Source organism: Homo sapiens, chromosome Y, assembly GCF_000001405.40.
Source record: "Homo sapiens chromosome Y, GRCh38.p14 Primary Assembly".
In the NCBI taxonomy this organism is placed as follows: Eukaryota; Metazoa; Chordata; class Mammalia; order Primates; family Hominidae; genus Homo; species Homo sapiens.
The window spans coordinates 13,090,914-13,105,572 of NC_000024.10; the positions used below are offsets into that span (position 1 = coordinate 13,090,914).

General features: G+C 40.3%; 1 pseudogene; it reads left to right on the forward strand.

Annotated features, from left to right (window-relative positions):
- On the forward strand, window positions 3,891–6,812 carry SFPQP1 (splicing factor proline and glutamine rich pseudogene 1; annotated as a pseudogene).

Consider the following 14,659-nt stretch of genomic DNA (forward strand, 5'->3'; position numbering starts at 1 on the left):
TAATTTGAAGATTTTAATTTACACAAAAAGTTTACCTAAAACATTATCCTTCATTACACTCACTTCTTTCACTTTTAATGGTTTATCTAGATTACTCTGTAAACTGAGATATTAGTATCATTTAAAGTTAGTTATTTCCTTGTTAACCATATTTTTAGTAGTCTGTGAATATCAGGTGCTCACCTAAACCTAAATAAGAGCCTCAAAGTTAAAAACCTAGGTATTTTTGCCAATAACGCAAAAAGTTTAGCCAACATTTAATTGCTCAAAAAAGGGTGGGGACACACGCAAACAAAGATCATTTTATTTTGGCTGGCTTTACAGTTTTATAACCTTCTACAACAAACACTGACATCTCAAAATTATCTAGCAAAGACAAACATAAAATCCAGACAAAAATGTATGCAGCCAATTCTGAAGGCATTTGTGTTTTTATTTTACCAACAACTTTAAAGCCAGCTTGTTTAGGAAAGTTATATCGAGTCATGTGAACTTGAAAATTGCTTACACTTATTTACTTAATTTCTTGGCACTCTTTCACTTAGGCCAATTTGGTAGACACAACATATAACAATAAGTGTACATACAAATAAACACATCTAGATATGGATACACATACACAAATGAAGATCTAATTGCTTAAAATCCTAGCCATGAGATAACAGTATGTGGAATACAGTAAGAAATTCTTCTTCAAAGGTCCAGCTTGTTTAAGTTTCCTCATCCTTTGTTCCCTGCTTTCAAGGCCATACTTCTTTACTTTTTGTGTCCCCCCGCCCTGGTAAACAACTTTCCCACCAGTCCTTATCTATAGAGCCTACATTCCACATCTGCTACCCACTCTGTGAGTTAGCCCTCCCCATCAGGAAACGGCTACTCCCAGCCAAAACTGACTTTCCCACCTTCCCACCGGTATAACTGCATTCCTGCACTTTTCAAGTTAGCCAACCAGGTTCAGGTTAAATTGTGCAATCCAACTTCAGCCAATGGAAGCAGGACACAGTAAAAGGGACGAGCTGCGTTAGAGGTGATAAAACAACAACAACAACAACAACAACAACAACAACAACCCTGCTTTCCTTTTTGTGTGTGCTCTCCTGGCGACCAGACCTACGAGGGGCACCCTCCTGCAGGAGTAAATTTGCCTTGCTGTGCAAATTTATATTCAAGTGCTATTCTTTTTTATTTTGTGGCACCGAAAAATCTGCTTCTAACACAATACAAGGTCACCAGTTTGTTTGCCCCAATAGATAATCCAATGAACGCTGTGAAACAAATTATCAGGTAAAGCTGTTTTTATGGCTGTTTGATATTTAAAGGCCAAACTTCCCCAGACCTCAAAAACACTGGGCAAAACAGCATCAAAGGAGAGCCTCAGTTGTTAACCAGGCCCCCTGCTTAGAACAGCAGCACACAATCCTGGATACATGTAATGCCATCCCTTTTTCCCATTCAACAGTGAACTACAGATTCCAAAGAATATAGTGGCCAAACAGTATTGTAACTGCAAGAGAAAATTCTAAGGAGGGCTTTGTACTAGACCTCAGAACCTCTGCCAAGGGCTTCTCTTTGGGCGGGTTGAGGTCCAGAGGATGCCCAGGACATCTCCCTGTGGGGTCCAGTCTTAGATTATAAGACGTCTCTGACCTTAGGTGGGCAATAGTGCTGCTTTGCCTGCATTCACTTCAGAGGTGATGGTCTACTATGAGCTTTCCTTTGATACCTGGGTGTAATCCCCAACTTTTGGCATCTTTATAAGGTAACAGTCCAAGGAGTTCAGCTTGCCCACTGCCTAGACAGAGTCAATTTATCAAGTCAGGGGAAATTGCAGTGGAGAAAAAGTAATTTACTCAGAACTGGCTGTGCAGGAGACCAGAGTCTTATTATTCAAATCAGTGTCCTCAGACATTTGGGAATCAGTGTTTTTAAAGATACTTTGGCAGGTAAGAGCTTGGGAAGAGGGGACTGCTGATTGGTCAGGTTGAAGATTTCCATCTTCTAGAGGGACGAAGTGAGTTTTTCTTGCTGTCTTCTATTCCTGGGTGGAATGACAGAACTGGTTGGGCCAGATTACCAGTCTGGGTGGTGTCAGCTGATGCATTAAGTACAGGGTCTGCAAAATATCTCAAGCACTGATCTTAGGTTTTACAATAGTGATGTTATCCCCAGTAGCAATGTGGGGAGGTTCAAATTCTTAGAGCCCGAGGCTGCATGACCTCAAAGCTGTAATTTCTAATCTTGTAGCTATTTTTTTTCAGTCCTGCAAAAGCAAATTGGTTCCTAGAACAGGAAGAGGTTTTTTTGCAGGGGAAATGGGCAGTTATCAATTTCATTTCAGAGTTCAAGCATCAACTGAATTCCTTGCCAAAGTTAGTGCAGCCTATGCCCAGGAATAAACAAAGACAGCTTAAATGTTACAAGCAAGACGGAGTCAGTTAGGTCTGATTTTTTTTTGACTGTCATGATTTCCTCAGTTATAATTTTGCAAAGGCAGTTTCAATAATTTGATAAGACCACACTTTCCCATGCTTCTGGTTCCATTAGAGTGATAGCCATATAATAATAGAAATTGTATTAATAGAAATAATAGAAACTGTAACATAGAAAGTGGAGGCTGGGTAGGCTTCTTTTGTCCTTAGCCAGTTGAGTACGGAAGGGAAGAATTTAGCATTAGAAAAGGTTTAAATCACCTGAAACACATGCAAATTTGCTCTGAGCTGTGTCACATGTAGCAATCAGGCACCACAACCAGAAAAGATAGAAAATAGTCGTTTAGAGTGGCCTGAGCAGAAACCTGCAGTTGCCACGTCTTTAGCTGCTGCCCACCAAGGGTTCCAGTTGAAAAAAAAAAAGAGAGAGTGAGAGACAGATTCCCTTGTATTGACCACAAAGGAAAAGGAGAAAAATAAATGCCAAACTCTGGGCTTAACTTCTGGCTGGCTTGCCAAAATATGCTACGAATGGAGTGTGTCCAAGTTCTTGGCATTTTGAGCAAAGAAGTGGTGAAAATGCACAAATAAAGCAAGGAAAAGATCAACAAAAGCAGAGAGTTATTAAAAACAAAAGTACATGGCTGGGCATGGTGGCTCACACCTGTAGTCCCAGTACTTTGGGAGGCTGAGGTGGGTGGGCAACCTGAGGTCAGGAGTTCAGGACCAGCCTGGACAACATGGCGAAACTCCATCTCTACTAAAAAATACAAAAATTAGCCGGGCATGGTGGCAGGTGCCTGTAATCCCAGCTATTCGGGAGGCTGAGACAGGAGAATAACTTGAACCTGGGAGGTGGAGGTCACAGTGAGCTGAGATCATACCGCTCTACTCCAGCCTGGGCGAGAAGAGCAAAACTCCATCTTAAAAAAAAAAAAAAGTACACTTCACAGCGTGGGAGTGGACCCAAGCATAGGGGTTCAAGAGGCCAATTACAAAATTTTCTGGGGCTTAAATGCCCTCTTGAGGTTTCCATTGGTTACTTGGTGTATGCCCTATGGAAATGAACAGATGAGGTAAAGTTACGAAGTCATTTACTCAGTGTATACCCTATGTAAATGAAGAGGATATTTCCTGTGATAGCTGAACTGTTGCCATTTGATTAGTTATAGGAAGTCAGTGTGACTTGGTTTGATGTTTCCTGCCTCCAGACCCTATTCTCTTGCCTCACAAGCACTCCTGGTGGCCACCACAAGCCACCACATTAAAGTTGTGGGGAGCCCTTAGAAGCCACCAGCACCACCTGCCCTACCACCAGCAGTATGAGTAAAGGCCCCTGCCTGGCAGGCTCTGTGGCCACAATAAGACCTCAGTTTAGAAGAAGTTTAAAGCCAATTTCTATCTCCTAAAGCATGGAGAGAAAAGTTACATACAGTGCTTTTGGTTGTTTGTTAAACATTGGAGGTGGTCAACTTCAAGTCTGCTTAGCCACATATGTTGCTGTACTTTTTTGTTGTTGTTCACCATAAATATTATGTTTCCAAAGAACTATTGGAAGAAACTTTTAACCAGCTTGGTGCTATTGAAAGGACCATTTAATAATGGATGAACATGGAATATCTATAGGAAAAAGCATTGTTGAATTTATTCTAGATTAGTAGTAGCAAGAAAGGCATTTGAATGATGCAGTAAAGATGTTTTCTTACTGACAACTCCTCATCTAGTCATTGTGAAACCACTCGAACAACTAAATGGTGATGACAGTATTCTTGAAAAAATTTCACAGAAGGGTCCAGTGTATCAAAAGAGAGATAAATCGCTCCTCATTTTGCCCTATATGACATTTAATTCTGAATATTCTTAGTGATGGAAGTCCTTGGATGAAACAAAACAGCAAAGGAATCATGTTGAAAAAACATGAATCATGTAAAATACTAATTTGGAAAGTGAAATAGGAGATGCACTCAAGGAACATCAAGGAAATCTTTTGCACCAAGATCTGATAAGGCAGGAGGAAGAATTATGATGCATGCAAAAACTTCACAATCAAGGAATGCAGAAACATAAAGAAATGCAATTGAGGCAAGAGGAGAAACGACAGAGGAGGAAAAGATGATGATTCATTGATATGGGATGGAAGAACAGATGAGGCACCAAATTACAGGAAAATTACAGTCAGATGGGCTACATGGATCCAAGAGAAAGAGATATGAGAATGGGTGGCACAGGAGATCCCTATGGTTCAGGAGGCCAGAAATGTCCACCTCTAGATGATAATGATGGCATAGGTTATGACACTAATTTTAGAATTCCATTAGAAACCACGAGTGGATCCATGAAGGAAAGTGTCATGTGTATGGAGTGATTTGGGCAAGAAGACACAGGACTTGTGGGGGGAAGGGTCCTAGATGAATGGAGCCCAGAATTCCACAGGGATATTGTAGAGGGAGAGAAGAGTATAAAGTCTCAAAGAACACCAATTTGATATGTAATATCTAGAGTTTCATTCCAATTACTTACTGTCTTTTCTTGTTTAGATACCAATCATTTACATTATTGCATTTTAGTAAGAAAACTACCTTTTTATGGATGTTAGCAGGTTATTGATTTAATACTTTTAAATGTTTTGTGCAGATAAAATTATGTAATATAGTGTTAGAAATAAAATAAAGATTTTCCCTTTTTATTTCACCTCCTCATTTTTTTTCAACAGTATAATGCCCAAGTAATGTCAGTGTACCTCGTGGTACCATGTTTTTGTTGGTTTGTTTTGTTTTCCTGAAATGGAGTCTCACTCTGCTGCCCAGGCTGGAGTGCAATGGCATCATCTCTGGTCACTGCAACCTCTGCCTCCCAGAGGTTGCCTCAAGTAATTCTCCTGCCTTAGCCTACCAAGTAGCTGGGATTACAGGCACCCACCACCACACCTGGCTAATTTTTGTACTTTTAGTAGAGATGGTGTTTCACCATGTTTGCCTGGCTAGTTTTAAACTCCTGACCTTAAATGATCCCCCTGCCTCAGTCTCCTGAAGTGCTGGGATTACTGGTGTGAGCCACTGTGCCCAGCCTGTGCTACCATTTTTGTACTTTGCTTCAAATAAATACCTAAATAGTTATAATGTTGATCTTCAACTTTGCCATTCATGCATATATGTATATTAGACTAGGTATCCCACTTTGAAACATGAAAGTGTCAAGGCCTTTGAATGGCATTTGCCATTTCTGGAAAATGTATCTGGAGGCTAAATACTGCTTTCTACAAATAACTGCCCCCCTTGTTTTAGAAAGAAGGAATCAGCCGGGCGCAGTTGCTAACACCTGTAATCCCAGCACTTTGGGAGGCCGAGGTGTGCAGATCACGAGGTCAGGAGTTTGAGACCAGCCTGGCCAACATAGCAAAGCCGCATCTCTACTAAAAATACAAAAAATTAGCCAGGCATGGTGGGCGCCTGTAATCCCCACTACTCAGGAGACTGAGGCAGGAGAATCGTTTAAACCTGGGAGGCGGATGTTGCAGTGAGCCGAGATCACGCCACTGCTCTCCAGCCTGGGCCACACTAGCCCAGGAGATAGTATGAGACTCTGTCTCAAAAAAAAAAAAAAAAAAAAAAAGGGAAGAAGAAATGCAATTGAAGTAGATTTCCTTATTTATTTGGCATTATAGGAAACAAACCAGTGCTATGTATATTTAAATGGTCATGTAAGTGAAGCTGAAATGTAAATCTTGATTCAAGAAAATATATTAAGATTGTGTAATGGGTGTAGGACAATTGGTAGGGGGTGAAAATGGGTTTGGTTAATGTGAGGTCTCTGAGCCCAAGCTAAGCCATCATATCCCCTGTGACCTGCATGTACACATCCAGATGGCTGGTTCCTGCCTTAACTGATGACATTCCACCACAAAAGAAGTGAAAATGGCCTGTTCCTGCCTTAACTGATGATATTACCTTCTGAAATTCCTTCTCTGGGCTCATCCTGGCTCAAAAGCTTCCCAGCTGAGCACCGTGTGACCCCCACCCCTGCCAGCCAGAGAACAACCCCTGCTTTTCCTTTACCTACCCAAATCTTATAAAATGGCCCCACCCCTATCTCCTTCCACTGACTCTCTTTTCCGACTCAGCCCGCCTGTACCCAGGTGAAATAAACAGCCTTGTTGCTCACACAAAGACTGTTTGGTGGTCTCTTCACACAGACATGAGTGAAAGTTAAATGGATCTTTTATGGCCCTATGATCTACACTTTCCTTGGAAGCTTTTGAAAAGTGTAAAAAAAAATTTTTTTTTTTTTTTTGCATTTCCCCATTTAAAACAGCAAGAAATCCCAATCCCTTCTAATGGCTTGTATTGAACTTTTATATTTGAATTAAAGATTGTTAAACACCAAAAAAGCAGATGTTTTTTGTTAAAGACAGTAAGAAAAAGTTAAAGACAGTAAGAAAAGACAAAGAAAGTCATTATTTAATGATAAAGGGATCAACTTAGCAAGAGACTAAAACAATTCTAAATGTATAGGCACCCTACACTGATGCACCCAGATACATAAAATAAGTATTACTAAACAGAAAGAGAGATATATCCCAATACAATAATAGTGGGGATGTCAACACTCAACTCACAGCATTAAACAGATCATTTAGATTTTAAAAAATCAACTGTGAAAGGAAGATAAATCTTGGAGCCCCAAAATTACTAAGCTAAAGGGGAAAGTCAAACTGGAAACTGCTTAGGGCAAACCTGCCTCCCATTCTATTCAAAGTTATCGCTCTTCTCACTGAGATAGATGCATATCTGATTGCCTCCTTTGGAAAGGCTTATCAGAAACTCAAAAGAATGCAACCATTTGTCTTTCACCTACCTGTGACCTGGAAGCCCCCTCCCTGCTTGAGTTGTCCCACCTTTCTCAGTGGAAACAATGTGTATCTGACATATTGACAAGTCTTATGTCTCTATAAAGTGTACAAAATCAAGCTGTCCCCTGACCACCTTGGGCACATGTCAGGACCTCCTGGCACACATCCTTGACCTTGGCAAAATAAACTTTTTAAATTAACAGAGACCTAGTTCAGATATTTTGGGTTCACACAGTAAAGAAAGACTGGACTTAAATTAGACTTTACACGAAATGAACCTAAAAAGCATTTACAGTATATCTACCCAAGAACTGCAGGTAATTCATTTTGATACGGCTCCAATGAGTGGAGAAACACCAGGGTTCTTCATCTTGAGTAGAATTGGATAAAACTACACAAACACACATGGAATGGTTTTAAGGAGCAGAGAGTTTAATAGGCAAGGAAGAAGGAAGAAGCTCCCCCATACAGAGACAGAGGGAGAGGGATTCCAAGTCATGAGAGGAAACTGTGAGTGTGACAGAAACCAGCCACTTTTATGAGGAGGCTGGAGGAGGTAGTGTCTAATTTGCATAGGGGTGACGGGATTGGTTTGACCAGGCATGTCATTCACATAGCCCGTGAAAAATCTGGCCCTCTCACCCTAGCTTTTTAATTGCAAATGCAGGATGCCATGATGTTCTACACATGTGGGGATATGTTGGGGAGGCCATGTTGCCAGGCACATGTTAGGGCAAGGGCAAGAAGAAGGCAGTGGGAATCACCATGTTTGGGTGTGTAAGAGTTAAAGAAAGAGGAAAGAAACATGAAACACAGCTTGGCAGTCAAAGACAGGTTTTCTTTAGTTAAAACCTAAGAGGCGCCCCTGGCCAATTTCGGTCAGGAGCCCTTTCTCTTACAGACTAAGGGTATATATTGGTTTTAGGGTGGGGGGAGCTTAGAAGCTTGGAATGTTTATGTGTGTGGAGAAGTTTATGGTGGGGTTGGAATCTCTCTGGGAGGAGGGGAGGTTATCTTGGGGCAGACATCTTACCAGCCCAGAAGGGGTTATCTCGAGGCTGGCATCTTCCTGGATGGAGAAGGCTTATCTTGGGGCTAACATGTCTCTGGACAAGGAGGAGTCTGAAATGTTTCTCGTTGGAGATGTTATTTGTGGTTTATGGTCATGCCAACCTTAGCCATTAAGCTGATGCCCTTTGGATTTAGGTGGTTTTTATTAAAGTGAACTTTAGAATTAGGGGCTTGTCCAAGATGGCAGTGCTCCTGCTCTGTCAATCCAGACCTTATCATTGAAAAAAGGAGGAGAGATGGTGTTTTCATTCTGGTTACTTCCTGCTGACAAGGGGATGAACGGTTTTCTGGTCTTGGGTTGACTGCAGAAGCAATGCTGTCTGTAGATGGTTTTGGGTAGTTGTTTGTGAAAAGGCCATGATCCTGTGAGTTAAAAATCTTTGAAAAAGGTAAATTAGGTAGGGTAAGAACATTAGTCCCAAGCATATTGTTAGAAGAGGGGCCAGGAACATGCTACAATTTTGTTCCCAAACCAAGAATTTATTTGGTTGTTTTGATATTCTTTTAGCTTTTTAGCCCTTTCCTTAAGTTTTTCAGCAGTAATTTTTACTAGGCCTGATTGGTTGATACAGAAACAACATACCTTACCTAATGAGAGGCAGAGGTGTGTGTTTAGAAAGGCCTGTGTGTTATTTTCTGTTAGTAACCATTATTCCTGCTATAAGGATAATAATTAAGCAAAATGCTACGGTAATTGAGATTTTTTGTCTGATATGCCACCCTGAGGGTGCCACAATATATATTCTATGGCAAATAGTAAATTAAACATCTTTTCATAAGAAAAATCTTCAACAAACTAGGTATAGAAGAAATATCTCAAAATAATAGAGGCTATTTATATGACAAACCCACAGCAAACATCACACTAGATCTACAGAAGCTGAAAACATTACTTCTAAGAATTAGAAGTGGACAATATTATCCACCTTCACCACTCCTACTCAACATAGTATGGAAATTCCAGCCAGAACAATCAAGCAAGAGAAAGAGATAAAATGCTTCCAAGTTGGAAAAGAAGTCCTTTTCCTCTTTGCTCATTATATGATCTTATATCTAGAAATAACTACAGGTTCACCTAAAAAAAATCAGTAGCATTTCTTTAAATTAAAAATGATCTAGCTGAGAAGGAAATCAAGAGGGAAATCCCATATTCAATAGGAACAAAAAAAAACCCTAGGGAAATATATTTAACTAAGAAGATTAATTAATTAATTTTAACGAAGAAAAACTTAAAAAAAGATTGATAAAACAAATTGAGGATGACACAAATAAACTATCCAATGCTCATGGATAGAAAAAATTAATATTTTTAAAATAACCATACTGCCTGAAGCAATTTATAGGTTCAATGCAATTATATTAACATACAACTGTCATTTTTCACAGAATTAGCAAAAATAATTCTAAAATGTAGATGGAACAAAAAAGGAGCCAGAGTAGCTAAAAGAATCATGAGCAATAGAAACAAAGCTGGAAGCATCACATTACCTGATGTCAAAATATTATATTATAAGGATCAACAAAATTGATAGACCACTAACAAGACTAATAAAGAAAAAAAGAGAGAAGAATCAAATAGACACAATAAAAAATGATAAAGGGGATATCACCACCGATCCCACAGAAATACAAACTACCATCAGAGAATACTACAAACACCTCTATGCAAGTAAACTAGAAAACCTAGAAGAAATGGATAAATTCCTCGACACATACACTCTCCCAAGACTAAACCAGGAAGAAGTTGAATCTCTGAATAGACCAATAACAGGATCTGAAATTGTGGCAATAATCAATAGCTTACCAACCAAAAAGAGTCCAGAACCAGATGGATTCACAGCCAAATTCTACCAGAGGTACAAGGAGGAATTGGTACCATTCCTTCTGAAACTATTCCAATCAATAGAAAAACAGGGAATCCTCCCTAACTCATTTTATGAGGCCAGCATCATCCTGATACCAAAGCCTGGCAGAGACACAACCAAAAAAGAGAATTTTAGACCAATATCCTTGATGAACATTGATGCAAAAATCCTCAATAAAATACTGGCAAACCGAATACAGCAGCACATCATAAAGCTTATCTACCATGATCAAGTGGGCCTCATCCCTGGGATGCAAGGCTGGTTCAATATACACAAATCAATAAATGTAATCCAGCATATAAACAGAACCAAAGACAAAAACCACATGATTATCTCAATAGATGCAGAAAAGGCCTTTGACAAAATTCAACAGCCCTTCATGCTAAAAACTCTCAATAAATTAGGTATTGATGGGACGTATTTCAAAATAATAAGAGCTATCTATGACAAACCCACAGCCAATATCATACTGAATGGGAAAAAACTGGAAGCATTCCCTTTGAAAACTGGCACAAGATAGGGATGCCCTCTCTCACCACTCCTATTCAACATAGTGTTGGAAGTTCTGGCCAGGGCAATTAGGCAGGAGAAGGAAATAAAGGGTATTCGATTAGGAAAAGAGGAAGTCAAATTGTCCCTCTTTGCAGATGACATGATTGTATATCTAGAAAACCCCATTGTCTCAGCCCAAAATCTCCTTAAGCTGATAAGCAACTTCAGCAAAGTCTCAGGATACAAAATCAATGTATAAAAATCACTAGCATTCTTATACACCAACAACAGACAAACAGAGAGCCAAATCATGAGTGAACTCCCATTCACAAATTGCTTCAAAGAGAATAAAATACCTAGGAATCCAACTTACAAGGGATGTGAAGGACCTCCTCGAGGAGAACTACAAACCACTGCTCAAGGAAATAAAAGAGGATACAAACAAATGGAAGAACATTCCATGCTCATGGGTAGGAAGAATCAATATCATGAAAATGGCCGTAGTGCCCAAGGTAATTTACAGATTCAATGCCATCCCCATCAAGCTACCAATGACTTTCTTCACAGAATTGGAAAAAACTACTTTAAAGTTCATATGGAACCAAAAAAGAGCCCACATCGCCAAGTCCGTCCTAAGCCAAAAGAACAAAGCTGGAGGCATCACACTACCTGACTTCAAACTATACTACAAGGCTACAGTAACAAAAACAGCATGGTACTGGTACCAAAACAGAGATACAGATCAATGGAACAGAACAGAGCCCTCAGAAATAACACCACATATCTACAACAATCTGATCTTTGACAAACCTGAGAAAAACAAGCAATGGGGAAAGGATTCCCTATTTAATAAATGGTGCTGGGAAAACTGGCTAGCCATATGTAGAAAGCTGAAACTGGATCCATTCCTTACACCTTATACAAAAATCAATTCAAGATGGATTAAAGACTTAAATGTTAGACCTAAAACCATAAAAACCCTAGAAGAAAACCTAGGCATTACCATTCAGGACATAGGCATGGGCAAGGACTACATGTCTAAAACACCAAAAGCAATGGCAACAAAAGCCGAAATTGACAAATGGGATCTAATTAAACTAAAGAGCTTCTGCACAGCAAAAGAAGCTACCATCAGAGTGAACAGGCAACCTACAAAATGGGAGAAAATTTTCGCAACCTACTCCTCTGTCAAAAGGCTAATATCCAGAATCTACATTGAACTCAAATTTACAAGAAAAAAACAAACAACCCCATCAAAAAGTGGGCGAAGGACATGAACAGACACTTCTCAAAAGAAGACATTTTTGAAGCCAAAAAACACATGAAAAAATGCTCACCATCACTGGCCATCAGAGAAATGCAAATCAAAACCACAGTGAGATACCATCTCACACCAGTTAGAATGGCGAACATTAAAATGTCAGGAAACAACAGGTGCTGGAGAGGATGTGGAGAAATAGGAACACTTTTACACTGTTGGTGGGACTGTAAACTAGTTCAACCATTGTGGAAGTCAGTGTGGCGATTCCTCAGGGATCTAGAACTAGAAATACCATTTGACCCAGCCATCCCACTACTGGGTATATACGTAAAGGATTATAAATCATGCTGCTATAAAGACACATGCACACGTATGGTTATTGCGGCTCTATTCACAATAGCAAAGACTTGGAACCAACCCAAATGTCCAACAATGATAGACTGGATTAAGAAAATGTGGCACATATACATCATGGAATACTATGCAGCCATAAAAAATGATGAGTTCATGTCCTTTGTAGGGACACGGATGAAATTGGAAATCATCATTCTCAGTAAACTATCGCAAGAACAAAAAACCAAACACCGCATATTCTCACTCATAGGTGGGAATTGAACAATAAGAACACACGGACACAGGAAGGGGAACATCACACTCTGGGGACTGTTGTGGGGTGGGGGGAGGGGGGAGGGATAGCATTGGGAGATATACCTAATGCTAGATGATGAGTTAGTGGGTGCAGTGCACCAGCATGGCACATGTATACATATGTAACTAACCTGCACATTGTGCACATGTACCCTAAAACTTAAAGTATAATAATAATAAAAAAATTATATTATAATGTTATCATAACAAAAAGCATGGTAGTCACATAAAAATAGACATATAGATCAAAGAAGCAAAATACTGAACCCCAATGTAATGCCACAGATTTACTGCTGTAGGGGTGTGTTGCCCCTCCACACCTGTGGGTGTTTCTCGTAAGGTGGGACGAGAGACTTAGGAAAGAAAAAGACACAGAGACAAAGTACAGAGAAAGAAATAAGGGGACCCAGGGAACCAGCGTTCAGCATATGGAGGATCCCCCCAGCCTTTGAGTTCCCTTAGTATTTATTCATCATTCGTGGGTGTTTCTTGAAGAGGGGGATGTGTCAGGGTCACAAGACCATTGTGGGGAGAGGGTCAGCAGACAAACACGGGAACAAAGGTCTTTGCATCATAGACAATGTAAAGGATTAAGTGCTGTGCTTTTAGATATGCATACACATAAACATCTCAATGCTTTACAAAGCAGATTGCTGCCCGCATGTCCCACCTCCAGCCCTAAGGCGATTTTTCCCTATCTCAGTAGATGGAACATACAATCGGGTTTTATACCGAGACATTCCATTGCCCAGGGACGGGCAGGAGACAGATGCCTTCCTCTTGTCTCAACTGCAAGAGGCATGCCTTCCGCTTATACTAATCCTCCTCAGCACAGACCCTTTACGGGTGTCGGGCTGGGGGACGGTCAAGTCTTTCCCTTCCCACGAGGCCATATTTCAGACTATCACATGGGGAGAAACCTTGGACAATACCTGGCTTTCCTAGGCAGAGGTCCCTGCGGCCTTCCGCAGTTTTTGTGTCCCTGGGTACTTGAGATTAGGGAGTGGTGATGACTCTTAAGGAGCGTGCTGCCTTCAAGCATCTGTTTAACAAAGCACATCTTGCACCGCCCTTAATCCATTTAACTCTGAGTTGACACAGCACATGTTTCAGAGAGCACGGGGTTGGGGGTAACGTTATAGATTAACAGAATCTCAAGGCAGAAGAATTTTTCTTAGTACAGAACAAAATGGAGTCTCCTATGTCTACTTCTTTCTACACAGACACAGTAACAATCTGATCTCTCTTGCTTTTCTCCACAACTGCCTGCTGATATTTGACAAAAGTGGATAATAACACACATGAGCAGTGTAAGGTCAGCTGAGAGAAAGGAAAACTAGACCCAAAGTCAGGCTAGAGAGTTTTTATTGACCTGCCAGTTGCCCCTCTTAACAGTCAAGGAAAGCAGCCCCAAACTTACAGAATGAGGGGTTTATACTGGGGAGCGGAGTTTGAGGAAGTTCTTTGATATGGCCGCATCCCAGGGTTGTTTGCTGGTTAATTTTGCCACATATCACCTTGTGATATTTATTACAGGAGGGTATAGGTAAAGTTTGTTTATGCTTCCCATGACCTCCCCCTTTGTGGTCTGGATGTTTTGTAATTAGGGTTTGATTATCGCAGCAAGGTCTAATAAGTGAAGTCTGCTGGCTTCATTATGGTGCCCAGATAAGGGCTTAGAAATGTAAAGAGGCTTGGGGGAAGGGTGGGCAGCACAGAGAAGTGTTGCAGAGCATTAGTGGAGGGGTGGGCAGCACAGAAAGTTTTGTGAGGAGTGTTGGCAGTACCAAGAAGCTTTCTGGGGCAATTTGTCCTCAACAGGTAGAGGGCACCCTTTTCAATAAATGATGCTCAGAAAAGTGAATAGCCACATGCAGAAGAATGAAACTGGATCCATATCTCACACCATATGCAAAAATCGTACAAGACTAAAATAAAAGACCAAAGATAATAAAATAGTAGAAGAAAACTTATAAAAAACTCTTCTGGACATCAGTTGAGGTAAATAACACAGGATTAAATCTTCAAAAGTAGAAATAACAGA